Source organism: Homo sapiens, chromosome 9 (assembly GCF_000001405.40).
Source record: "Homo sapiens chromosome 9, GRCh38.p14 Primary Assembly".
Classification (NCBI taxonomy): Eukaryota; Metazoa; Chordata; class Mammalia; order Primates; family Hominidae; genus Homo; species Homo sapiens.
Genome location: NC_000009.12, coordinates 83,332,633 through 83,359,768, shown reverse-complemented (window position 1 = coordinate 83,359,768; position 27,136 = coordinate 83,332,633). Strand labels below are relative to the sequence as shown.

Genomic DNA, 27,136 nt, shown 5'->3' with positions numbered 1-27,136 from the left:
TAGTCACCACCTATGTTCATATGGCCTTTGGTCTAGGAATAGGTTTCACATTTTTAAATGGTTGAAAAAAACCAAAAGATATATAAGATTTTTGTGGCATACAAAAATGATACAAATTCAAACTTCAGTGTTTTATTGGAGCACAGCTATACACACTTGTTTATGTATTGGTGGTGGCTGCTTCTCTACTACAACAACTGGGTGGAGTCGTTGAGACAGAAAACTCGAGCCTTCCAAAGTTGAAAATATTTATTCTCTAGCCCTTTACAGAGAAAGTTTGATGCCCTGCTCTCTGTGGTTGGTTCCATTATTATTCCCATTTTACAGATGAGGAAATGGAGGCAGGGAGTTTTAAGTTTGGACGCAGCAATTTGTTCAAATGACAAACTTGAGGTTAGAAGTATGGGACCCCAAAGTCTCTTTTCAAGCTTCTCCTGAGCAGGCATAGGCAGGAAGAGAATTCAGAGACCAAGGATTTGTGAGGCAACCACTCAGCATTCCAATCTCCCTTAAGAGAGTTCTCTGAGTGACTGTAGTCAGTGCCTACGAGTGTGGGTGGGCATGCCTGTGTGTGATAAAAGCATAGGAGGGAACTGTAACGAGAGGAAGATGAATTAAACATGATTTTAAAAACCTGTCTCTGCTTTGGAAGCTGGGGAAACACAGTGATTATCATTTCAGTAAGAGTGGGGGAAGGATCATCACTGTTGCTGATGATGCTGATAGTAACAGTTGTTGTTTAATGATTATAATCATTTCCATGTAGAAGAGAGCAGTCATGAATGCAGCCTGCACTCTCTGTGGCTGGCTTATTTACACATATTTCTAGAGTCACAGTTGGAGAATGAGTGAGCAATGTTCTCCCCTTTAGGTGCTCAAGCGTCATTTTGCATATGTGCAGAGGTAGTTTGTGCTTTCGAACCATATCATTATTGAATGCAGCACAGTTGAATCCATTGGCATCACTGTGCATGGCATGTGCACAACAGGAATATAGGCAACAGTGACCAAGCTGAGAATAAAATCAAGAACTCAATCCCTTTCACAATAGCTACAAATAAATAAATAAATAAATAAATAAATAAATAAATAAATACTTAAGAATATACCTAACCAAGGAGGTGAAAGACCTCTACAAGGGAAACTACAAAACACTGCTGAAAGAAATCATAGACAACACAAACAAACGGAAACACATCCCATGCTCATGGATGGATGGAATCAATATTGTGAAAATGACCATACTGCCGAAGGCAATTTACAAATTCAGTGTAATTCCCGTCAAAATACCACCATCATTCTTCACATAACTAGAAAAAACAATTCTAAAAACCATATGGAACCAAAAAAGAGCCCACATAGACAAAGCAAGACTATGCAAAAAGAAAAAATCTGGAGGCATCACATTACCCGACTTCAAACTATATACTATAAGGTCATAGTCACCAAACAGCATGGTACTGGTATAAAAATAGGCACATAGACCAATGGAACAGAATAGAAAACCAAGAAATAAAGCCAAATACTTACAGCCAACTGATCAACAAAGCAAACAAAAACGTAAAGTGGGGAAAGGACACCCTGTTCAACAAATGGTTCTGGGATAATTGGCAAGCCACATATAGAAGAATGAAACTGGATCCTCATCTCTCACCTTATACAAAAATCAACTCAAGATGGATCAAAGACTTAAATCTAAGACCTGAAACCATTAAGATTCTAGAAGGTAGCATTGGATAACATGGGATAAACCCTTCTAGACATTGGGTTAGGCAAAGACTCCATGACCAAAAACCCAAAAGCAAGTGCAACAAAAACAAACATAAATATATGGGACTTAATTAAGCTGAAAAACTCCTGCACAAAAAATAAATAATCAGCAGAGTTAACAGACAACCCACAGAGTGGGAGACAATCTTCACAATCTATACATTTGACAAAGGACTAATATCCAGAATCTACAAAGAACTCCAACAAATCAGCAAGAAAAAAACAAGCAATCCCATCAAAAAGTGGGCTAAGGACATGAATAGACCATTCTCAAAAGAAGATATACAAATGGGCAACAAACATGTGAGAAAATGCTCAACATCACTAATGATCAGAGAAATGCAAATAAAAACCACAATGTGATACGTTACTACTGCAAGAATGGCCATAATTAAAAATAAAAAAATAATAAATGTTGGCATAGGTGTGGTGAAAAGGGAACACTTTTACACTATTGGTGGGGTTGTAAACTAGTACAACCACTATGGAAAACAGTGTGGAGATTCCTTAAAGTACTAAAAGTAGATCTACCATTTGATCCAGCAATTTCACTACTGGGTATCCAGTACCCAGAGAAAAAGAAGTCATTATACGAAAGAGATACTTGCACACGCATGTTTATAGCAGCACAATTTGCAATTGCAAAAATATGGAACCAGCCCAAATGCCCATCAGTCAATGAGTGGATAAAGAAAATGTTTTATATATATATATATATATATATATATATATATATATATATATATATATATGTATGTATTATATATATATAAAATATATATATTCCATGTATGTTATATATATACATAATATATATAATGTAATATATATATTCCATGTATGTTATATATATACATAATATATATAATGTAATATATATATTACCATGATGGATAGATATATATATACACCATGGAATACTACTCAGCCATAAAAAGGAATGAATTAATGGCATTTGCAGGAATTGAAGACTCTAATTGAGTATTTCAGGAATGGAAAACCAAACATCGCATGTTATCACTCGTATGTGGGAGCTAAGCTATGAGCTAAGCTACAAGGCATAAAAATGATATGACGGACTTTGGGGACTCGGGACAAAGGGTTGGGGGTGGTGAGGGATAACAGACTACACATTGGGTACAGTATATACCACTTGGGTGATGGGTGCACCCAAATCCCAGAAATCACCACTAAAGAACTTATTCATGTAACCAACACCACCTGTTTTCCCAAAAACCTATCGAAATAAAAAAAATTGTTAAAAAGGAAATTGGGGAGATTTTTCCTAGCTGTAAATCAGAATGTATATGAGAAACATTGTGAGTTTGTATGTATAGTCCTGAAATTACGCTTCTGATTTCCCCATGATTCTTTATGATGACTGGAGGAAAACGTTTGGTTTTAAGAAAAAAAAAAAGCTGCTGGCCGGGCGCGGTGGCTCACCCCTGTAATCCCAGCACTTTGGGAGGCCGAGGTGGGCGGATCACGAAGTCAGGAGATCGAGACCATCCTGGCTAACACGGTGAAACCCCGTCTCTACTAAAAATACAAAAAAATTAGCCGGAAGTGGTGGCGGGTGCCTGTAGTCCCAGCTACTTGGGAGGCCGAAGCAGGAGAATGGCGTGAACCCGGGAGGCGGAGCTTGCAGTGAGCCGAGATCGCGCCACTGCACTCCAGCCTGGGCGACAGAGCAAGACTCTGTCAAAAAAAAAAAAAAAAAAAAAAAATGCTGCTGAGTGATGCTTCTCTCTCAAAAAATCCTATCTGATCTTTAAAAGATTTGACTGAGGTTGTTGGTCAGAAATAGAAAGAAAGTCCCTTTTTCCCTTTCACCCAGGATCTTGCTCAATTTAATCGTTTCCTATCAACTCCATTTCTGGGCAATGGCTCAATGTGGAGATGAGAAATTCTGTCTCTGTTTTATAAACAGCTGTACCTCTCTCCATGTTCTCAGTGTTATCAAATCAGCAAAATGATGCTACCCTGGGATTTGCTGACACAAAAGGGGCCACTGAGCTGCCCCGAGGAGACACTTGGCTCCCCAGCCCTTGTCTGGCAGCTATCAGTTGGCTGTGAGAGAGGAGCCCTGCTGTTCTCAGTGCAATTACAAGCTCTTGGCATTTCAAAGTGGATTTCACTTTTTCCCCCTTCTCTGCTACTCTGGTGGTATGCTCTGTTTTTAGCACTTACATGGCTGAGTTAATGCTTTTCAGCTGTTGAGTTGAATTCAATTCAGTCTTCCCCATTCCCTCCCTCCTATTTCCACCTCCCATTTTCCTTCTCTTCTTCTGGTAGGAGTGTTTATCTCAACAGAACACAATCTCACATTTAGATAATGCCCTGTGTACACGTTCCAGGAGCCATTTGGATCCACCCAAACACATCTGGAAGGTAGACATGATGGCTGGCACTGGCACTGTGACCTCTGCAGAGCAGGAAAGAGAAATTAGGTGGCTTTCTCAAGATCACTGTTGGGACATCCTCTTCAAAACTCAGGGGCTCATCCTCTGGGGGATTTGGGGTTTTCACCACCCTGTGTACCCCTGTCAAGGGTGCTGAAGCCTGAGCACCACATTAGACAGGGCCAGGATGTCTTCTCCCATGGGGTGACCATGCTGCCCAGTCTAGTAAAGATGCACAGTGGCTGTTCATGATAATACTGTTGGGAGAGGGCTCCAATACAGGCTGTGGGTTTGCGCAGATAGCTCCTTCATCAGACATTTCCTGTACTGATTCTGCACCAAATGTTTGGCACAGAGAAGGATCTTTCTTTACGTCATTCCCCTTTCCCTGTAATTTAAGAATAAGAACACATGGAAGCTGGATTGCGTAGACACTTAGCAGCTTGGAGAAGGGGTTAGTCATCGCTGCACAAGGGGATTCAGGACCTTGGACATGTCCCAGGGAGTAAGTGGGGGCTTCCATGTTGCATCTGAGAAGGCTCCTTTTCCAGCAGTCATACAGCTGGTGTGGGTGCACCACAGTGCTCAAATGCTGGACTTCTGACCCCAAACCATTGCCACCACACTTGGGGTTAAAGATGACCCCCAACCTCCTTGTTCAATGACTTACAATTTTAAATGATTTGATTTTTGAGTGTTTTATTTTTTTTCAAGGTAGTAAAAAGAATTGCACGTACTTCATGGGTTTGATTGGAGTGGGGATGGGAAAAGGGAGCAGAGGTGGCAGTCTTCTCTCATCTGTTACATCTTCTTGGCTTTATTCTTTCCCATAGCACATATGACCTTCTACTGTCCTGGTATTTCACATATTTATTTTGATTTTTATACCTGTTTACCCCTACTGAATGTGTCCTCCATGAAGACAGAATTTCTTTTTAACTTTTATTTTAGATTCAGGGTTTACATGCACAGGTTTATTAGCTGGATATTTTTCATGATGCTGAGGTTTGGGGTATGAATGATCCTGTTACCCAGGTACTAAGCATAGTACCCAATAGTTTGTTGTTCAACACTTGCCCCCTTTACTTTCTTCTTCTAGTAGTCCCCAGCGTCTGTTGTTTCCATCTTTATGTCCATGAGTACCCAATGTTTCGCTCCCACTTCTAAGTGAGAACATGCAGTGTTTGTTTTTCTGCTCCTGTGTTAATTTGCCTAGGATAATGGCTTCCAGCTACATTCATGTTGCTGCAAAGGATGTGATTTTGTTCTTTTTATGGCTGCATAGTATTCCATGGTGTATATGTACCACATTTTCTTTATTCAGTCCACCATTGATGGGCACTTAGGTTGATTCCATAAGACAGAATTTTTGGCCAGGCACAGTGGCTCACACCTGCAATCCCAGCACTTTGGGAGGCCAAGGCAGGTGGATCACCTGAGGTCAGGAGTTCGAGACCAGCCTGGCCAACGTGGTGAAACCCTGTCTCTACTAAAAATACAAAAAATTAGCCAGGCATTGTGGTGGGTACCTGTATTCTCAGCTACTTGGGAGGCTGAGCCAGGAGAATTGCTTAAACCCAAGAGGCGGAGGTTGCAGTGAGCTGAGATCACGCCATTTCACTCTCAGACTGGGCAACAAGAGCCAAACTCTGTCTCAAGAAAAAAAAAAGACAAAATTTTTGTCTGTTCACAGCTGCTAACATTTGTGCAATGAATGTACAACATCTAAAACTGTGTCTGTTACCTATAACAATAGATCATTGCTGATTGAACTAATCAATCCTGCCTCTAGAAGTAGCTATCGTAACCAACTCCAGAGTCCCTGAATTTTATTCCAGATATTGAGTGGGAAGAACAGAAGCTGAGAAAAGAGGCTTTCAAAATGTAAATCTCAGGAATTGCTGTAGTGATCCAGATGACAAACTTTTCTAGATCTGTATTTTGATTCTGTCAGAGGGACCAAGGGATGAATGTGATGGCAGGGCCTCAGTGTTCCTCTAGACATCTGCCTCAGAGCCTGGGGTTTATCATTCACAAATTCATTTATCCACACACTCAGAAAATCAACCTTTTATCAATAATCAGCTCTGGGGATAAAAAGCTGAACAAGACATATTATTCTATACCCTCATGCATCTTGTCATCCATAACTAGATCAGCATTTTGGGGGAAATTATTTATCTTTTCAGCTTGTTCCAGCCCTGTGAAGGAACATTCTTTAGCAGTACTACTTTATAAAATAATAATATAATTTTTGCATCTATTAATAGAACCTTAAGTAAGTTTCTTAAAGAAAAAGTGCCCCCCCTCCCCCACCCCACTGCAGTGGCCTCGTCAGGCCTGGATGAAGACATTGACCTTCTCATCAGTTCAGGTCTCTGGCACTACTCCTGGATCACTGTGACAGAACTGAGTGGTTCTTCCAACTTACAGGGACACTCTTCTTTTATTGGTGACATGGGGTCAATGATGTTGGCTAGATATGAGAGAAAAACACAGTAGGGCATATATGATGGTAGAAAAAAAATAGAAAATGTTAAACTTGAAAAGTGCCTCCTCTTGTTTTTCCTGCCGCCAGCTCTCATCCCTTCTCTGCCAAGGGGTTCAATAGTGAGCATATCTTGAGCACCTTGTATTGATTTCTTCTGTGATCATATCCCAGCAAATGGAGGGAGATGTCAGGAACATAGTGGCTTGTTCTGTGTGACTCAGCAACAGCAGATATGAAAAGAATTAAGACTGTGGGCCTATTGTAAACTCAGGGTAAATCAACACTGAGAGGAGACCATTGACAGGAGACGACGATTATGTCCAGAATGAAGCTGGCAATCCTAGGGCCCCTGGCTTGAGGAAGCATAGAGCAGACAAGAATCTACTTAGGGTGGAGGGGCCGGCTGGTGAAGGCCACTCAGAACTGCTTCAAATGAAGAGGACCAGGATGTTTATTTTAGGGAAGACTCAGAAGGCCCACAAGTGTCATCTTCAGATGATGGAAGGACTCTTCATGTACGTGGGAGAAGCACTAGACCTTCCTGGAGCCTCAGAGCTTGAAGTGAGGAGAACTGGGTGGGAAGGCTTCCTACACTCAGACATAGTCAAGGAGAGCACTGGGGAGCAGTTCTGGGCCTCATTGCCTGATCCTTTGGAACAAGTGTGAGTCACTATTTGTATCTGAGGAGCTCCGATGCTTATTGAAGCCAACTTACGACACTAAGAAGTTAATGCTTCAGGAAGGAGAGAAAGGACAGCTCTCGTTTGGGGCCATTTTCTGTGATCTTCCTTTTTATAAATTGCTGATAGTCAGGGGACTTTATTTTTCTGCTCTCTTTAAAACATTTTCCCATACCTATTGATCCAACAATTCAACTTTTGAGAGTCTACATTATAGAAATAAAAATACAAGCATATAGCGATCTGTGCACAAGGATGGATATGGTTTGATGTAGAATAGTTTGAATTGCAAAAGTGTGAAAACAACCTAAATGACAATTAAAAGGGAATAATTGAGTACACTCTGGTGTATTCATAATATGAACTATTCTGTAGTTACTATAGACATTAAGTGAGATCTCTATCTACTGTCCTGGAGGGATGGGCAGGATATAGCGTTAAGTGAGGAAAGTGAGAGAAACATGTACAGTATGATCTTATTTTGTTAGAATAAATTAAAAATCTCTCCACATATATAATACAATCATGTTGGCATATATTTGTGTGAGGATGGCAAAAGGAGGGGAAGAATGTAGATGAAAGTTGTTAATATGGGTTGGAGAATTTGGGGTGTAATGAAGTTGGATAGGAACGAACCTGAGACAGATGGGGCAGGATTAGAGACAAAGTGAATAATGAAGCAGGATGGCATGTCTATCTATCTATCTATCTATCTATCTATCTATCTATCTATCTATCATGTAACTATCAATCATCTATCTACCTATCTCTATCTATCTCTATTAAAGATGGTACTTTAAACAAACTTAAAAGAAAGCTGGGAAATGTTTAAAGATAAATTATTTTGTATTAGAACTGAATTTCTAGATATCATTAAAGATGAATGATGTATTTTTCTAAGCTTTTTCTTTGCTATGTAGAAGGTATCTATTTTCTCCTAGTGCTTCAGGAAAAAAAAAAGGTTCTTTTCTTAAATCTTGGGAACATAGGATCAGGTTAGGAGCACTCATCTCAGTTAAGAATTTTGCTAGTTGTTGGTAGGGAAGTAGGGCGTTGAATGAAAAGAGTTCTAGTGTGTGTGTGTGTGTGTGTGTGTGTGTGTATGATCAGTTTTTCTCTGCTGAGATCATCAGCAAGATGCTGCTCTTTTTTTTTGTAATTTAGATGCTATCAAATCCTTTTTAATAATTGTTTTTCATATTAAATTATTCTTATTATACATTCATATTCAAGAACCCTGTGGCTCTTCTTATGTAAAGGATTCGTCTACATCTGGAGTAGTCCAGACAGTGTAGAATTGGATGGCAGTTTAACCCCTGCGTATCTTGAAAGATGAATTTGGGTAAAATAGGATGTTGTTTCATATTCACATTTGGATGTAGACTGAGAACTGATCCCAAGTAGCTTTACTGATACAGAAGCAAATGAGTGGTATGTCCAATCCATGGAAATAGTAATGCTAACTATTTTATTTCCTTGATTTAAGATGTTCATTTTATATGTTAACTGAAATCTGAATGCATCTCACTACACTGGTATGCATTTATCAGTGTAATATTACAAGTCGGTAGTGATCTTATAATGGAAGATCTTGGAAGTCCTGTAGAATCCCCATTGGTTGGGTGAGTTCTGGATATTTGAGGCAAATTAGAACACTCCAGAATCATGAACCTCAACCAGAATTGCAGCCTACATAGGATTTTCCCTTCAGGGAAACCAGAAAGTTATAAAATTGTTTTCTTTTCTTTTTTTTCTTTTTCTTCTTTCTTTTTCTTTTTCTTTCTTTCTTTTTTTTTTTTTTTGAGATGGAGTTTCACTCTTATTGCCCAGGCTGGAGTGCAATGGTGCAATGTCAGCTCACTGCAACCTCCGCCTCCTGGGTTCAAGCAATTCTCCTGCCTCAGCCTCCTGAGTAGCTGGGATTACAGGCATGTGCCACCACACCCAGCTAATTTTTTTTTTTTTGTATTTTTAGTAGAGATGGGGTTTCTCCATGTTGGTCAGGCTGGTCTGACCTCAGGTGATCTGCCTGCCTTGGCCTCCCAAAGTGCTGGGATTACAGGCGTGAGACACCACGACCAGCCGGCCAACAGTGTTTATTTTCATACAGGTGACTGCCTTTATAGATAGATAATACTAAAAATCTGCAAAGTAGGATCTCTGCATGGCTGACTCCATCTTTTAAACCTTAATTTTAATTCAGAGACACCATCATTTTGGGAAAACTAGTCATGTGCAGTGACATTTTTTTTTCCACCTCACAGGCTAAAAAAATCTTTTGTGAGCCCAGCAACTTGAATGGTGCTTATGTGCAATTTGTTTGTCACAAGGGGTGGGAAGAATCAGAAGAGAAGTGTTCTCTGGAGCTGTGTGCTGGAGAGAATGAAGGAATGAAGGCGAGCTGTGATGTGGAAAAATGAGCTCACTGACTGGGTTGCTGGTATTCTACATTTGCTCTGGGAGTCCTGTCAAGCATTTTCTTTGAGTTTTGTTGTTGCTGTCGCTTTGTTTTCTTGGGCATCATATCTGCTTCTTCCAAAACAATCACCCCCTCCTGGCCCCCACTCCCCAGGCTAGTCTGTCAGGCTGCACGGCTGCCTTTCCCGTGTGTGTTTGAGGCCATGGTCTTTTGCTGCTTTTCTCATGCCTTTTCTTTATGATGTTTCAGCTCATCCACCATACACCATGTGCTTTAGAGTGAAATTCTACCCACATGAACCCTTGAAGATTAAAGAAGAGCTCACAAGGTATTTTTTGTTTGTTTGTATGTTTAACGTGCACCTTTAACCAGCCAGAATCTCTTTGGTCTTGCAGGCTAGATGGGCCTCCTGTCTAGAGCTGACCGTCTCAGTGTTGCAAGCTTGGAATTCAGCGTTTTTGCTTGGAATGCTTCTCTTACACTGAATTGTTTTGGGATTTTTTAAAAAAACAATTGTCATTGAGAGTGTAATTAACTGCAGAAAAAAGCACTGGCTATGATGGGGGAGGTGTTCTCTGAAAACATCTGACAGTGGGGTGCTAAAAATAAATAGGAGGCGTCTGTCTTCGAGACATGGGCAAATTCATACCCAGTACAGTCCCTAGTCTATCTTTTGGATCTCAGCTTTTCTGGGAGGGAAAAGATCGCCTGGCAGAATGCATTGTCTGTCATCCTGCCTTCCGCTTGCTGAATGACCGACTGGGAGGCAGGCTTCCCTCCACTCAGACTCTTCTCAGCCCAACTCTCCGAATTTTTGAGTCCTTGGACCTCCTCCCTTCTCACCTCCCTCTGTTGGGGCTACAGCTTCAGCGTACCTTCTGGGGGTTTGGCTTCCTTGAATAACCTGGGCACATGTTGTGAGCAGGATTCTAGGAGGATGGGAGAGAGAGCGCTGCTGTGCGCTTAACTCTAGATGAGGCTCTGGCTTGGTGACCACAAAAATCACTTGCTATAATCATCTCTCAAAATAAGCTGCTTAGGTACAGATAGATGCAACAGAAAAGCAAGTGTAATCTGCTCTGATCATTGGCAGGGGGAGGTTTTGGGTTCTTGGATATTTTGCTTCCTTGTTATTATCCAGGGTCTCTGGTAAGCTTGACCATTAGTGGCATGGAGGTGACTTTGGGAGGGAGCAGGTGGTTCTGCTCTCTATTATTAATTTCCTCACAGTCATTTAGTAAGGTTTGTGCTGGGCGTGGGAGATGGGGAGAGAGGGTGTGTGTGTGTGGAAATGAGGGTAATAGATAATGGACGTTATAAGCAGTGGTTGGGATTTTGCAATCTGGCCTGGTTTTTTCTTTTCATTGAGGTAAAATTCACATGACATAAATGTATCTCACCATTTTAAAGTGTATAATGCAGTGGCATTCAGTACATTCACAGTGTTGGACAACCCTCCCCACCATCTAATTCTAGAAGTTTTCATCACCCTCAAAAGAAACCATGTACCCCATAGAAGTCACTCCCTATTCTCCACCCTAGTCCCCATCCAAGCCCCTGGCAACCACTAATCTACTTTTGGTTTCTATGGATTTACCCATTCTGGACATTTCATGTAAATGGAATGGTATAGTATGTAGCCTTGGTCTGATTTTGGATTGAAAATTTTAATTATTTATTTGATAAATTTGTTCTCACTTGCTGTTACTACCCAGGGGGCAGTGACTGAATTAGCTGCCAAAAAGAGAGAGAGAGAGAAGAGAGAGAGAGAGGAGAGAGCGAGCGAGCTATTTTTCCTGCCCTCAGGGTGCTAACAGTGTAATTAGGAAGATCAAATCAAATCCTAATGCCTCACTTTTGTCATTTGTTCTCTTTATAATTTTGTCTGGAGGATAAAAATTGAGTATGTGTCACAATATAAATTAAGGATGGACATTTTGTTGTTGAAAAAAGTCCTATTTGAAAGTAAAAGAGTACAGCATTTCAGTTAATAACCCTAGTTTCTCGCCCCTCTCAGTTGTATTTGCTAACATTTTCCTACGTTTGACTAAATAGCTCAGGTATGAATAGTGGAATATCGTGACCCTTTGAGTTTCCAAAGGTAATTAAGATGTTCCACTGCCCTTATACAAGTAGAAATGGACTTTTCTTAGTAAACACAGTCCTTAGAATTCTAAACGAATTGAGAAACTGTGGAATGCCCCAGGTACTTATGGTTTGAATTCTTATCTTGAAGGCATTTAGTTTTTCTTGTATGATAAATTGTTATTTTATTATAAGATTAATCTAAAGTTTGAGAAGAATTTAATATGTGAGAAGTTACGATCATATTCATGACCATGCTTAAGAGTAAAGAAATGTTAAGAAAAAGGCAAATTTAAAATCACAAAATAATAAAAATAACCACAAAAGTGATATTTGAAATCATTTTTTATCCTTTATCTCTCCATATAAGCAATCATCTTACAATCCTTTAGATTTCTGGGGCTTTTGTAAATGCTCTATACAATTGAATGTTACAAAAAGAATGTTGATTTTAATTTTTTTTAGAAGTAGCATCTTCCAATCCATGTAGAGATGCAATTTTATTAATGGCAGCACAATAATTTATGACTCAGACCCTCATGGGTTTTTGTTGCTTAATCTTTTTATGCAGGAATGACACTAAAGGGAGATGCATTATTTTTTGGTAGCTATTATATAAAAAAAATGAGCATCCTTAATGTGAAACCATTTACAAGACTCAGTGGATTATGTTGAATCCACAGTAATTCTTGATTATCTCCTGAGATCACTGATATGGGCACAGCCCCAAAGTCTGACGTGAAAGCTGCTTTTCTTTTCTCAGGAAGCTCTTGCCAAATTGATTTCTGAGTTATGGGATTACAACTCAAGCCTCTCATTTATCAATAAATAGTTATTTGAAACTATTTTTCATGGCCAAACTCATCAAAAAGTAGAAAGAAATGCTTTTATGTTTGATGCATACATTGAATACACAGAAAAGAAACTTCATGGTATTTGGCCTGGTAGTTTACAGTCCTTAAAAAGGGCTAAGATTTAATCATTTAAAGCATTTGTGTGACCTTGCTATTCTGAATAGTCTTGGGCCTGTCCTCAAAGTGAGGTCCCTGGGCCAGCAATGTCAGCATCCCCTGGGAACTTGTTATAAATGCAGATTCTTGGTGTCTGTCCAAGACCTACTGAATCAGAAACCTCCGGCAGTTGGGTCCAGCAATCTATTTTCATAAGCCCTCCAGGTAATTCTGAAGCATGCCAAATTTTGAGAACCACCACTCTAAGACAATTTGGATTTTCAAAATAGTTTATTTTGACAGATATTGAAGTGTACAGTTTAGTATGTGCACAGATTTGTGCCACTAACACCATGATCTGATTCCAAAACATTTTCATCACCCCAGTAGGAAATTTTGCACCCAAGTGGTCATCCAGTATTCTCTTTTCTCCCAAGTTCCTGGCAACCACTTATCTGTTTTCTGTCTCTATAGATTTGTCCATTCTGGTTGTTTCATATAAATCAAAGCATGCAATGTGTAGCCTTTTGGGTCTGGCGTCTTTTCACTTAGCATAATGCTTTCAAAGTTCATCCCTGTTGTAGCATCTTCAGCTTTTCATTTTTGTTATGGTTGGATGATATTCCAGTGTATGGAAATGCCACATTTCTTTTATGTATTCGTCAGCTGGGGGACATTTGGCTTGTTTGCACTTTTTTTTTTTTTTTTTTTTTTTTGAGATGGCGTCTTGCTCTGTCGCTCAGGCTGGAGTGCAGTGGTGTGATCTCTGCTCATTGCAGCTTCTGCCTCCTGGGTTCAAGCAATTTTCCTGCCTCAACCTCCCAAGTAGCTAGGATTACAGGCACAAGCCAGCACGCCTAGCTAATTTTTGTATTTTTAGTAGAGACTGGGTTTTGCCATGTTGGCCAGGCTGTTCTGGAACTCCTGACCTCAGGCTATCCGCCTGCCTCGGCCTCCCAAATGCTGGGAGTACAGACGTGAGCCTCTGTGCCCTGCCCTGTTTTCACTTTCTAGCTATAATGAATAGTGTTATTATGAACATTCACATACAAGTTTTGGTGAGGGCCTAGATTCTGATTTCATTGGGTCTGGGGTAGGATCCAGAAGCCCACTGGTTTAGAACCTTATTACTCAAAGTGTGGCTGATGGAGCTGCACCACAGCATCCCCTGGAACTTAATTAATTAATTAATTTCTTTATTTTTATTTATTTTTTGAGATGGAGTCTTGCTCTGTCACCCAGGCTGGAGTGCAGTGGTGCGATCTCGGCTCACTGTAACTTCTGCCTCCCAGGTTCAAGTGATTCTCCTGCCTCAGCCTCCCGAGTAGCTGGGATTATAGGCACCCACCACCACGCCCGACTAATTTTTTGTATTTTTAGTAGAGACGAGGTTTCACCATGTTAGCCAGGATGGTCTCCATCTGTTGACCTCGTGATCCACCCAACTCGGCCTCCCAAATTGCTGGGATTACAGGCTTGAGCCACCATGCCCGGCCCCCCTGGAGCTTATTAGAAATACAGAATCTCAAGCCCATCCAAGACCCTTTGAATCAGAATCAATTTTAACAAACTCTTCAAGTAATTCATGTGCACGTTAAAGTGTGAGAGGCACTAGATTAGGCAGCTAGTCTGAGTCCTTACCCAATGAGTATAATATTGTTCCTTTGACAGAATGCATAGCAACTCCAAATTAGAAACTTATTAGGGACTGCCTTTATCCTCTGCACACAATTTAATACTAAACTGGGGACAAAGATTGTCATTTGAGCCTCCACCATGCCCCCAGTGCCCACACAGCACAGTGCACAGCATAAAGCAGATGTTAGACAAAGATACAGTGAAGGAAAACATCAGTGAGCCACTGATTCCTTCAATGGATCCAGTGTGCTTTCAGTGAACCAATGGCTCAGAAACAGTGAGCTCCAGTGCTCTGGGGTTGACAGCGTCCCTGTGACCTTAGCACACTAATCACTCTCTCTGATTCTCTATTTCTTTGCCTTTAAAATGGGGATTACACATGTCGCTCTTCCTGTGGCTGAGTAAAGATTAAATTACTTGGGCGCTAGAGACGTTTATTAGTTGAGGTTCTCCAGAGAAATAGAACCAATAGGCTACACACACACACACACACACACACACACACACACTCACACATGCACGCATGCACACACACCCTTTCATACATAATGAGATTTATTATAAGGAATTGGCCCATGTGATTATGAGGGCTGAGGTATTCCATGATCTGCTGTCTGTAACCTGGAGACCCAGGAAAGCCAGTGGTGTAGTTCAAAGGCCTGAGAACCAGAGAGTCAATGGTGTAGATTCCAATCCAAGTCTGAAGGTCTGAGAACCAGGAACACTGAGGATAGAAGATTGATGTCCCAGCTTAAGCAGTCAGGCAGAGTGAATTCAGCTTCCTCTGCCTTTGTGTGCTATTCAGTCTCTCAATGGATTGCATGAGGTCCACTCACACTGGGGAGGGTCATCTGCTTTACTCAGTCCACCAAGTCAAATGCTAATCTCTTCCAGAATCACCCTCGTCCAGAAAAAATGTTGAACCAGATATCTGGGTATCCCATGGCTCAATCCAGTTGACACATAAAAAATTAACCTCACAAGGTGATAACTGGGACTGATTGAGAGATGCTCCCCACAAACCCCCAAGAAGTTGAGAAGGAGAAAAAACATTGGTTTTTGAGAGTTAAACTCTAAAGGAAGCACGGAAAGAATCTGCACACATCTGTAAAGTTACTCTGCTCAGAAACAACAGATCCCAGGCCTGAGCCTGGAATGAAAGAACCTTGAGAAGATGAGGAAATTGGAAGAGAGCTTGATCAGTGTGGAGTAACAGAAAGGACAGGGACAAAATGAGCCTGAGCCAGGGGTTGCAACCTGGCACACTGCTCTGCTGCCTGCCTCCCACCTTGCTATTTTTCTGGAAAAACTGGACAAAGTGCTTTTCTAGTGGCAGCACTAGGCTGGAGCTGTGCAGTGGCTGCCCCCTTTCTAGGGAGCTGCTGTGTCCCATCCTGCTTCCAGCACTTCTTGCACCAGCACAGGTGACTTGCCCGTGTCACAGGCCACTGTGTGCCTGGCCTCAATAGGCATCTGAGTGTGCCATCCCTGGAGTGGGGAGACTCTACACAGATGACAGCTCTAGTTGTGAATCAGTTAGTTGCCTTTCTGGCCTCATAATGACTGCGTCTGTCTGAGGTTGATTAATGTGTCTCTCTGCCCCTAAGAAATGATGAGGCTGGCCTTATGTATGGATTGAGTCCGTTTCCTGGCTCTCCGTTTGAAACAGAGCTTGGGCAGCATGTGCCTGAGATGCAGCTAGTGATGACGGTGGCCATGGCTGTCCTCGTGCGGGAGCTGCTGCCAGGAGCTCTGGCCACTGGGTCCTGTGGCTTTCCTCATTTCTTCTCGTGCCTCTTTGAAAAGGCCGAGCCTGCTCAGCTTTGGAGGCTGATAAGATCTGCTCGGCAGACACTTCTGATTTTCTGAATTCAGAGGGCCCCTCTCAGCTTTCCTCTGCTTGTTCTACAAAGGGCTGGGCATGTCTAAGCCAGTCTCTAGAGCTGGGAAAAGCTCTGGTCACCATGGGAGCTAAGCATGAACAATCCTACTTCTTCCAGACTTCAGCCAAAAGTTAGAGTGACCATTTCTCCTTTTGTATTGCAGATACCTTTTATACCTTCAGATTAAAAGGGACATTTTTCATGGCCGCCTGCTGTGCTCCTTTTCTGATGCTGCCTACCTGGGTGCCTGTATTGTTCAAGGTAAGTCTGGCCACAGCTCACCCACGCCACCTTTGCACTGTGGAGCTCTGGCTGTTTCAAGCCTCCCTTCTCTCCCACCCGTGGCCATCCTGCCTGTGTCTGTGGCTGGAGACCATGTAGGGCTGGGTACGTAGCAACAGAACCCCAACTCACCTTCCCTTCCAAGCCAGTGGGGTCCCGGTGAAAGGCTGGGCTGAGATGTTCACAGGAGCCTCTGCAAAAACAGAGTTGCTCAAGATCCCATGAGTCAGAGTCAAAAGCTCTCTTTCAAAGGGGCTGGAATGTGGAATGGGTGGGTTTATAAGAAGCTCTGAAGGGATGTGGGTATTGTATGTTCTCAGTTCCAAATGCTAGGTGAGAGGCCTAATGGACATATTGAGAGGGGAATCTGCATCTAGGAAGATAGGTGTTAAACAAAGGGGTCATCCCTGGAAGCATTTTTGTGTCTATCTAACTATCTATCTATCTATCTATCTATCTATCTATCTATCTATCTAATCTATCCATCCATCCATCCATCCATCCTATCTATTCGTGTGTGTATGTGTATACATACGTACATGTCTATCATGTCTAATTCCTCAGCTCTTCTAGCTGTGGGCATGGTGAGGAGAGCACAAGTCTCATAAACTGTCACACCACCATTTGAATCTTTCTTCCCATTTCCTGGATGGTTCACCATGGATAAGTTACCAAGTTACCTAAGCTCTTCAGGGTTCAGTTTCTTCATCTATTAAATGGGATAGTCATCCTCCCTTCCTTGCCATGTGATTTCAGAGACCACTCTGCACCAGGCCAGGGGTAGCGCAGGCCCATTAGAAGTGACTACTGTTCTTTTTCCAGTTGAACAAACCCTAGGGGAAATAGCTAATGTGTTGATGTCGGTTGGGTTCTGAATGTTTCCACCTAGTAAGGAAAGTGGTTTGAGGGAAGGAGGCCTCCAGGGCCTGAGGCACCATATGGCCACGGATGGGCCCAACACCCAAGTGAAAATGGCTCAGGTGTTCTGTTCCCCTGGGCCAGTTGAGAGGCAGCTGGAGGGACTCAGATGATCCAGCTGTTGGTAGCATGAACATTAATGACATGTTTATGAGAGAGAAGGCAGGCTGGGGGAAAGAGAGAGAGAGAGAGAGAGAGAGAGAGAGATGACTATGTCAATCTTCCAATGGATCTGGAATAACACAGGAGCTTCTGATGGGCCATTAGCTGGTCATCGGTTATGATCATCTGCCTACCACAACACTGAGCTTGTCACTGATTGAGAAACCTGTCATTCTCCTGGGGATTCCCCTGTGGCCCACCGCCCTCCCTGTGGGATGCTCTGTGCTGTGAAATAGTTCCTTTGATCCTGTTCTCAGTTGTGTTTGGTCTCTCTGAGAATTCCGAAATGGGTGTGTGTGTTGTTCTTCACCCCCTTCCCTGGGAACAGCTTCATCCTGGACAGCAGATTTTGGCAGAGGTGTTAAAACCCTTGGGTATTTTCCCATTTAAAGCACTATGGTTGATACTGTAATGGGAAACAGCCCCTTCACCGACACTGAAGTAGAGAATGTGTTTCTGAAAGCTGCCTCTCTTACCTTGGAGTGAAAGGACTGTAAATCCCATAGTTCCCTTCCTCCATGGTGAAGGCTGCACATCTTGAGTTAGGGTGCACTGTCTTAGGTAAGAGACAAGGGAATCGATACTAATCCAAGCAACAGACCAGCATATGAGGATTTCAGAATGCATTTAGGCATTAGTGAATTACCATCAATTCTCCAAGGACATGCTCAATATGGATCTATAATGGAAAGCTCGCCATCCTGTTTTCTGTTTGAAATAAAGCCACGGAGCCTCCATCCAGACGATCAGGGCCCTATTTTATCCCTCATTGCTATTATTACTGACCACACTCACACAGACACTGTGGAGAAAGTAGAGTGGGAAATGGACTGGCAGACCTCAAAAAGACCTTTTGGCTCTCAAATGCAGTGCTGTCTGTGGTCATTTATAGCAAATTCAGTAAAAGTGGTTCATAAAGGTCTGATTCTCGGGTGAGTACTTCGGCAGCACTGCAGGTCATTCACAAATACAGATATAGATGGGCATTTCAGAACTGCTTATTCTTACAGAGTAATAGGGAAGATGGAGTAAGTGATTAGCAATCTTATTCTTACAGAGTAATAGGGAAGATGGAGTAAGTGATTAGCAATCAGGAGGCACTGTCGCCCCTCATCGTCTTGTTTGCTAATGCTCTTTCAAGGAGTATGTTTTAAGCTTCAGTATATTCTGAGTTTATAAAAAACAGTCAATCAAGTTGGATGTGGTGGTGCACACCTGTAATTCCAGCTACTTGGGAGGCTGAGGCAGGAGGATTTCTTGAGGCCAGGAGTTTGATACTAGCCTGGGCAACATAGACAAGACCTTGTCTCCACAAGGAATACAAAACCAGTCAATCACCTGGAGTTTTGCTGCCTGTACATACTGAATCCAACGAGCATATTTAAGACATGCAATGCATTTTCTTTCATAATACAAATTGCAAAACAAACACAGAATCCTTGGGATCTATTTATATTCTTTCTTGGTAAAAATATCTTTCCTGTTCCTTTTACAAAACAACACCACAGAGGAATTCAACTTATCTCCTCTGCCTGGTATGTTCAACCCCTGTAGAAATCTTGACTCCTGCTGGATATTCAGAACTCAGTCCCGAAGTCACTTCCTCTGGTAAGTCTACCTGGACCACTCGAGCTAAAGCAGCTCCCTCCTGCACGTCATTCTTTCTCAGAGCCCTGTTGTGTTTTCTTGCAAACACTTAGATCTTGAGTTGTTTTTGGGCTTATTGTGCATTTCCTCTTATATAGAATCTAATTCCATGGGAGTAGGATCTGGGTGCTTTTTCACAGCACTCTTCCTGTGTCTGGCACACAGCAGGTTCTCCACTAAATATGTTAAATGAATCAGGGCACTTGCCTGAAATGAATCGGGGCACTTGCCTAAACTCCAGGTGATTGACAGGTTTTGTATTTTTTTGTAGGCAGGATCTCACTGTGTTACTCAGGGTGGTCTCAAACTCTGACCTCAAGCAATCCTCCTACCTCAGCCTCCCAAGTAACTGGGATTACAGGTGTGCACCACCACACCTGGCTTGATTGACTGTTTTTAATAAACTCAGAATATACTGAAGCTTCAAACTTGCCCTGATTAACCATGGTTAATTAAATTAGTCACAACCATTTAACGTTTAAATTTAACATTTCGTTAAATGACTGTGCCTGATTCATTTAACATTTAGTTAAATGATTGTGCCTGATTCATTTAACTATGGGAAAGACTGGTTGGCCGCCTGCTGGGATGGTATCACTACCTCATTCATTCATTTGTTCATGTGTTCTCCAAATACTTCCTGAGAAGTTGCTAGGGGGCCACATGGCAATACAAAGTTCCTGTGGGAAGATGGATAAGGAAACAGGCCATTGTGACCCTGCGTTGTTGGTTAGATGGAGGAACACACAGGCCCAGTCCCTGCTATGAGTGTCCCAGGAGGGCTCCTGACTTAGCAAGCATGGGTCAGGGAAAGCTCCTGAAGGAGTTGGCCCTGGAGCTAAAGGTCCTGCATCTCAAATTCTTTTGGAATGAGTCCTTTCCAAACCAGGGGAAAGCCTGTTGCTTTTTAGACTTACTGTTTCTGACCTTACTCACCCATTCACTTCAAACTCATTGGATTTTTCTCTTAGAATTGAATCCTTTTAGAAAAGTGCTAGAGCTGGTTTCAAACCGCAGGGCCTCCAGTTGTATGTCATTTGTCACGACTTCAACTTCCAAGTCATGAGCAGGAGGGAGAACCATGGCGGCTTACCCAACTCCTCTTGGTATGAATAGCTAGAAATCTTTATTCATTTTAAAAAACCTGCCTTCTGCTTAAGGAGAGGTCAGAGTTAAAGACAAGCTTTAGGGAATCAGAGCAGGGCCTGTGATGGGGACAGTGTTAATCTTGTCAGCAATCCGGTGCAGTCTTCACAGCATTTCTTCTCTAACTTTTCTAACATTTGCAGTGTGTAGCATTGCAAGTCTATAATATCTCACAAGATTTCCTGGAAAGAAAAGGGCACCCTGAAAAACGATGCCCTCCCTCACCAACCACTCTGCAAGCTGACATTTGCATTGAAGATGACCCAGTTTCATATTGGTGGTCCATTGTCCCATCACCTTTGGAAATTACCTATGGAAAATGGAAGCACTGGGATCGTCCATCTCCTAAATATTAATGCCTGTAGCTAGCTCACAGGGGCACAAGCGTGTATGTGTGTAAAGGTGGACATGTTACGTGTATTTCTTTTGGAACATAGGTTGAGTTAATCATCAGTTTATGGCCCACCTCTCATCATTGGTCCCTTTAGGCCCATGGATTGATTGATTGATTTCCCTTTTTCCATTATTCTCCATTTCCACTCCTAAGGGCAATGCTGGGTTCATATACATATCTTTGTCTTTGTATCCATCCTTATAAAATGATTAATATTGTTTTTTTGTGTCTATACTTCTAAATTTCATAAATTAAATGATGCTATAGAACTCATTGTATTCCCTCCTTCTTACGCTCAGAACACTGCTTTTGGGATCTGTCCATATTGCATACGTACATCTTATTTTGTTGATTTTAACTGTGACAGAGTGTCCCAAAGGGTGCGTCTTCCATGTTTTACTTATCTAGCTGTCCCACTAACAATAAACACCCAAGTTGCCTCCAACTTCTGACTATTATGATTAATGCTGTCATAAAAAAAACCTTGAACATATCCTTTTTTTGCACCTAGAGTTTTTCTAGGAAAAATGCCCAGAAATGGGATTGCTAGGTCATAATATTTGACTAAAAACTCCCACCTTGCTCTCTGGAGGAGCAACATGCATCTAGCACCCTTCAGCAGTGCACAAGTATTTTTGTTTTCTTGTGTCTCTGCCAACTTCCTAGTTTTATTGCCAATGTTATAGGTATAAAGTAACATCTTGTTTTGGTTTGCATATCTCTAATTATTCATGAGTTTGAGCATCTCTCCCTACACTGGCCCTTAGGGTTTCCCCTTCTTTGAATTGTCTGTTCATTATCCTTTGACCATTTCTCTATTGGTCTTCCTGTCCATTAAAAAATGATATGTAGGGATTTCTTCTTTATTCTAGATATTAGTCCTTGTCAGCTTTAGATTGTGAAGATATGTTCTTTCAAGTTGTCATCTCTCTATTACTTTGACTCTGATGTCCTTTATTAAACAGAAATAAATTTTAATTTTGGTATGATCAAATTAATCAATTTCCCCTTTGTGACTGAAAGTATTTTAGGTCTTATTTTAGAAGTCTTCCCTCGCTGTGGTATATGTTCTAGGTTGTTTTAAGAACTCTGTAATTTGAATTTTGTCCAGAAGCTTTAAAGAGCTTTGATTTCCTCCTGGTTATATACTTTTCCAGTCATTGGATGATGTGACAATGAAGGGACAGTGGATACAAATTACAGAGTTGGATGTAATTTTTCAGATGCACTCAAGGCATACTAATTTTTTTCTACTTCAAAGTCATATTGGTCATCAGGTTCTTCTAATACAATTTTCCCACTATCTTTAGTCTACTCTCCTGGGCCATATCTTTTGTTTCTTCCAGAGACACTTGCTTCTTCTGGCTCATATTCCTTAGCATGCTTGTGGAACCAATAGAAAGTATTCTTGATGCCAGACATCACCTTTGCCCCTCCATGCTGTGGTTCACACACCCATCTCTGCTTGGCCTTCTGGGTGCTCAGAGATGTGTAGGCATTTCTCTTTTTACCCTTGAAGATCCTCTGGAGGTGCCCTTTGTTAGTGTCAGCTGAAGAATCATGAAGTACATAAATTTGGAAAGAAGAGCTTTATTTCTCACAAAGGGTTGCAGCTTGCAGGGTGGCCATTCTGACAGGTGGGGAAACGTAGACTCTGGCCAGAAGCTGGAAACAAGCACTTCAAGGGTGGGAAGAATAAGACAAAGATTTATGCTGAATGGGGTGGCCAAGTATACGTATTCAACAGGTTATTATAGGGGCTGTGAATAGTCACAAAAGGAAGGCACAGGCATGCATAGTAGGCTAGCACATAAGCAACATGCATCCCATGTTCACTTTTGGGTGGAGACTTAACATTTAAATGTATTATCATTAGGGCCTATACAACAAAAGGTGAGGCAGAGGACACAAAGGCCCTCTGTGCACAGCCTCCATAGACTGGCCAGAACCACTTTGTAGTCAGTGGTCTCTTACCAGGAAGGAATGCTGATCAGTTACTGTGTCAAAACCACAAAAGGGAGGGGCAGCATCGGCAATTGGTTGATATCAGTGGTGCAGTCTTTCAGAAGGGCTGGTTTCTGTTTAACCCTTGGTGTAGGAAACCTAATAGCAATTAATGAGGGAGGGGGTATAATGAGGTCTGACCTCATCATGTCTGGGAACTCAGTTTTTAAGGGTTCTCTGGGGCCTCTTGGCCAAGTGGGGGCAATGTTCAGTCTGTTGGGGGGCTTAGGATTTTATTTTTATTTCTCATTAGACTCCAGCAACAACTTTAATCTAGTATGCTCTTCTGTTTTAGATGTATACTCCTTAATTTCAAGAGCAATCAATTTGTTTTTAAGTGCAATCCCGCTGGGTTCCTTCTAGTGATTTTTCAATGAATAAGCCACACCTGCATAAGCCTCAGAGCAGGCAGCTCCAGTCAGGGAATTCCTGACACAGAGAATATTAGCTGTGAATGGAACCCCGAGGAATGTCCACTGGTTTCCATCTAAAGGTGGTACCACCTCCTATCCTGGGGAGCATTTGGAAATACTGGGGCGGGGGCATTAAATTTTTAAAAAATGTAAAACATTTTAAATCAATAAACATTATATATATTTATGGTATACAACCTGATGTTTTGAAATATGTATGCATTGTGGAATGGCTAAACCGAGCTTTACATATACATTACCTCATATACTTATCATTTGTTTTGGTGGTGAGAACAATTAAAAGCTACCCTCTCAGGGATTTTTAAGTATACAATACGTTGTTTCTAATTATAGTCTCCATGTTGTACAATGCTCTCTTGAATGTATTCCTTCTATCTAACTGAAATCCTGTATTCTTTGACTAACTTCTGGGAGAGAGCAGTTTTGATGGTCACAGTGCCTGGGTCTGCTGCTAGCATCTAGTACCTGAAGGGTAGAGCTACTAAATGTCCTACAGTTCCTTAGAAAATCTGAAATAATAAAATTGTTCAGCCCTCAAAATGCCAATGGTGTCCCCACTGAAAAACAGTAATTTAAATCCTTTATTATACTGATAAAGAAGGCGAGACCCAGAGAAGATTCTCAAGATCCCAAGCTCACACAGCTCGATCTGAACTGGAATATGAGCCTCTAGACACTCAGGCTTTCTCTGGGTACAGATACATATTTTTGGGTGAGTTTATTCCAGCCTCTTCTTTTGGATGGCAGGAGGCACTCCATATGCACCCTGCTCATGTTATTGTTTTTAATCTTTCTCTGTCTCTTTATTTTTTCACTCATTACAGCTGAGCTTGGTGATTACGATCCTGATGAGCATCCTGAGAATTACATCAGTGAGTTTGAGATTTTCCCCAAGCAGTCACAGAAGCTGGAAAGAAAAATAGTGGAAATTCATAAAAATGAACTCAGGTAATTACTGAGTAGACATTTGTGAAAATGATAAAGGGGAGAAAATATTCTTACTGCAGGGAATGTGGAAATCACATCGTGAAGGAGGAATATTTGTAATGTATGGATAGGCTGTTTTGCGTGGCAGCGCAATTTTTCTGGGCACTGTCAAGGACACCCTGGTGTCCTCCGTCAATAACAATCTCAACAGTTTGGAGTCCTATGAGTGGCTGTTTATGATCCATCAGTAGTTATTAGATCCATGTATTTTCTTACACATATGGATTTCTAAACACCCTGAGCTTCTGAAAGTGGAATCTAAGGTAAATAAGTAAACCTTTCTGATTTGAATTTTGTGTTGCCTTTTTCCCACCGGTGGCCATAGCTGGAAGCATTGACTCCAAGTAGAATAGAATCCATTGGGAAGATTCCCTTTGCTGAGCTACTTTCAAGATGACAGATTTAGTGTCTGATCCTCTTTTTCTCACCTGCGATGCTTCAATGATAGCTGCACAGTAGCAGTGGTAGAAGCAAAATTGCATAGAGCATTCACCACGTTCCTAACACTGTTCTAAGCACTTTGCACATATTAACTCGTTTAATCTTCACAACAACCTAGGAGATAGGTTATTGTTATTCTCATATTACAGATGAGGGAACCGAGGCACAGAGAGGTTAAACAACCTACCCAAGGTCACGCAGCTAGTAAGTATCAGAGCTGGGATTTGAATTCTGGCAGTCTTGGTCTAGAGTCTGTGCCTTTATGCCCTGTGTGATGGTTACACTCTACATGGGCTGCTGGGAATCAAATGAAGTGTGTGTAGGGATCATTGCCAACTTGGAATTTAGGTAATTCAAGTAGTCTAGTCTGTAGCTAGAATTTAGATACTGTGCAAACTACAGAAAAAAAAATCATTTTGGTAATAGCAAGCATGGGCAGTGTTATGACAAGTGTTGATGAAAAACTGCAAGAACTGAGATGCTTCCATGTTCTAGGCCTCTGGTAAGTATAAAGAAAATTGCATCATTGGATTATGCATTCTGGAACAGACAACTGTCCCGGTGTGAGGAAATTGTTCTAGCTCCCTCCTTTATGCAGGCGCGCCCCCTACTGGTGAGTCTGGGAAGAGTATATGTGAGGGCATTCAAGGTGGCAGCTTATTTCAGCTGGGAAAATATGACGCTTAGTCTTAGAGATAAAGATGATTAGACATCAAAACATTGTACTACTTTCAGAAAGCAACAGGCCATCTATGTGGGTAATTTTAGAGTATTGTCTCCTAATGAAAAGCCTTGTTGAAGATACATGAAATTCTCACTACTCTTTTGCTATTTTGGAGACAAATGTACTAGAGGTAGAAATAAAGTTCGATATTTTTGTGGAGGGGTTTGTGGCAGAGCAGTGTTCCGGGGAGCACAGGGTGAGAATCCCTGGATGAAGGAGTTGCACCCACTGTTTGAATTGATAGGAGATGGGAATGGAAAGGTTTTCTATGCCCTGAATTTGCAGGGCCTCTAACGCTCAGAACATAGGATAATAATATACACTTATTGAGCATTTACTTACTAGATGCCAAAACATTGTGCTAAGAGCTTTAAGTGCATTATCCCACTCAGTTCTCCCAAACTCTATTAGATGGGCGCTATTGTTCTTTCTAGTGTGGGATGAGGAAAGTACAAGCTGAAGTGGTTAAAGGACTTGTGCTTTGTAAATAGTGGAGTCAGGACTTGAACCTTGGGTTACCTGGCTCAAGGTATGCCCATGCTCTTCTCCCTTTGTTGAGCGTTTAAAGGGAATCAGGTAGTCGGGTAGGTGTTTCACGGTGATCACCATGTCAGCGGTGCCTGAGGATGGAGAACCAGGGCAGGAGGGCCAGTTAGTAATTTCTGGTATTCAGACAAGAAACGGGAAGGACCTGAAAAAGAATAGGAGTAAAGGAAATTGAAAGAAGAGAGTCATGAGAGGCGTTGCAGCCAGACTTGGTGATCCACAATTTCATGAGAAAATGAGTGAATCACAGAAGATTCCAAGTTGTTTTATTAACATTCAGAAAGCTGTAGCTTGGACCCTGGGCCAGCACCTGAGCTTGTGGAGATCACTGAAAGTGGTCATCATGCACTCAGGGAAGACGGGGGTCATCAGTCACTCGCACTTTATAAATCTTGGAAGTAAGTTCTGTGGTTTGATCAAAGCTGCCATTCTATGGCACATGTGGTCCTGCACATTTGAAACATCCATTAAGCCTTTGTGAAGAGTTGGGAGTTGTATGCCTGAAGGATGAACCTGTCAGGAATCATATCACCTTGCAAGGACAGCTTCAGGGGCTATTTCCCTGTGTATTTTTGCTCATTCTAAGTAGTTCTGTATTTCATTCAGCATCAGTGCAGCAGAGAGATACTTTTGGTTTGGAGGGTAAGACAAGAAGAGCAGAAGAGGCTGACAGTGCAGAGGGAGAGGAGCTTTCTTGCGTCTGTTGGGAAACCTGCTACAGGGACTGAAGGTGCTCTGGGGGTGCCACCACCCCTTCATACACAGGTCAAGAAAGTGTTATCTGTCTTGTGTAAGGAATTGGGCCTTGGTTGAATTACTCTGCAAACCTGACCAAGCCAGGAAGGAGTCATGGATGGAGAAGACCTGTGCTTGGCTGCACCAAACCATGGCCATCCTGCTCTCCAGAGTCACCACAACACCCGTGACCCTCCCACTTAGCTAGGGATGGTGTGTGGCCATCGAACTGCTGTTCTGAAGACTTCCTGAGAGGATTCCAGTTGGCTTTTGTTGGGGTTTGAGGGACCCAATAAATAACCTCCTTCTTCCTTCCTGCTTTCTGAATCAGCTGAGAAATAAAACACAACAGGTGCTCAAATATTAGCAGAAATGATGATTTACAGGGAGATCAACAT

General features: G+C 41.8%; 1 protein-coding gene across 9 annotated transcripts in view; it reads left to right on the top strand.

Annotated features, from left to right (window-relative positions):
* Positions 1-27,136, top strand: part of FRMD3 (FERM domain containing 3) — a 342,803-nt gene that overhangs the window by 226,026 nt on the left and 89,641 nt on the right. For all 9 annotated transcript variants that reach the window (NM_001244959.2, XM_024447487.2, XM_047423155.1 and 6 more), the window contains 3 exons: positions 10,012-10,090; positions 16,482-16,579; positions 24,130-24,253. In NM_001244959.2, coding sequence (NP_001231888.1) covers positions 10,012-10,090; positions 16,482-16,579; positions 24,130-24,253 — 301 coding nt within the window. The remainder of the gene's footprint in view (positions 1-10,011; positions 10,091-16,481; positions 16,580-24,129; positions 24,254-27,136) is intronic.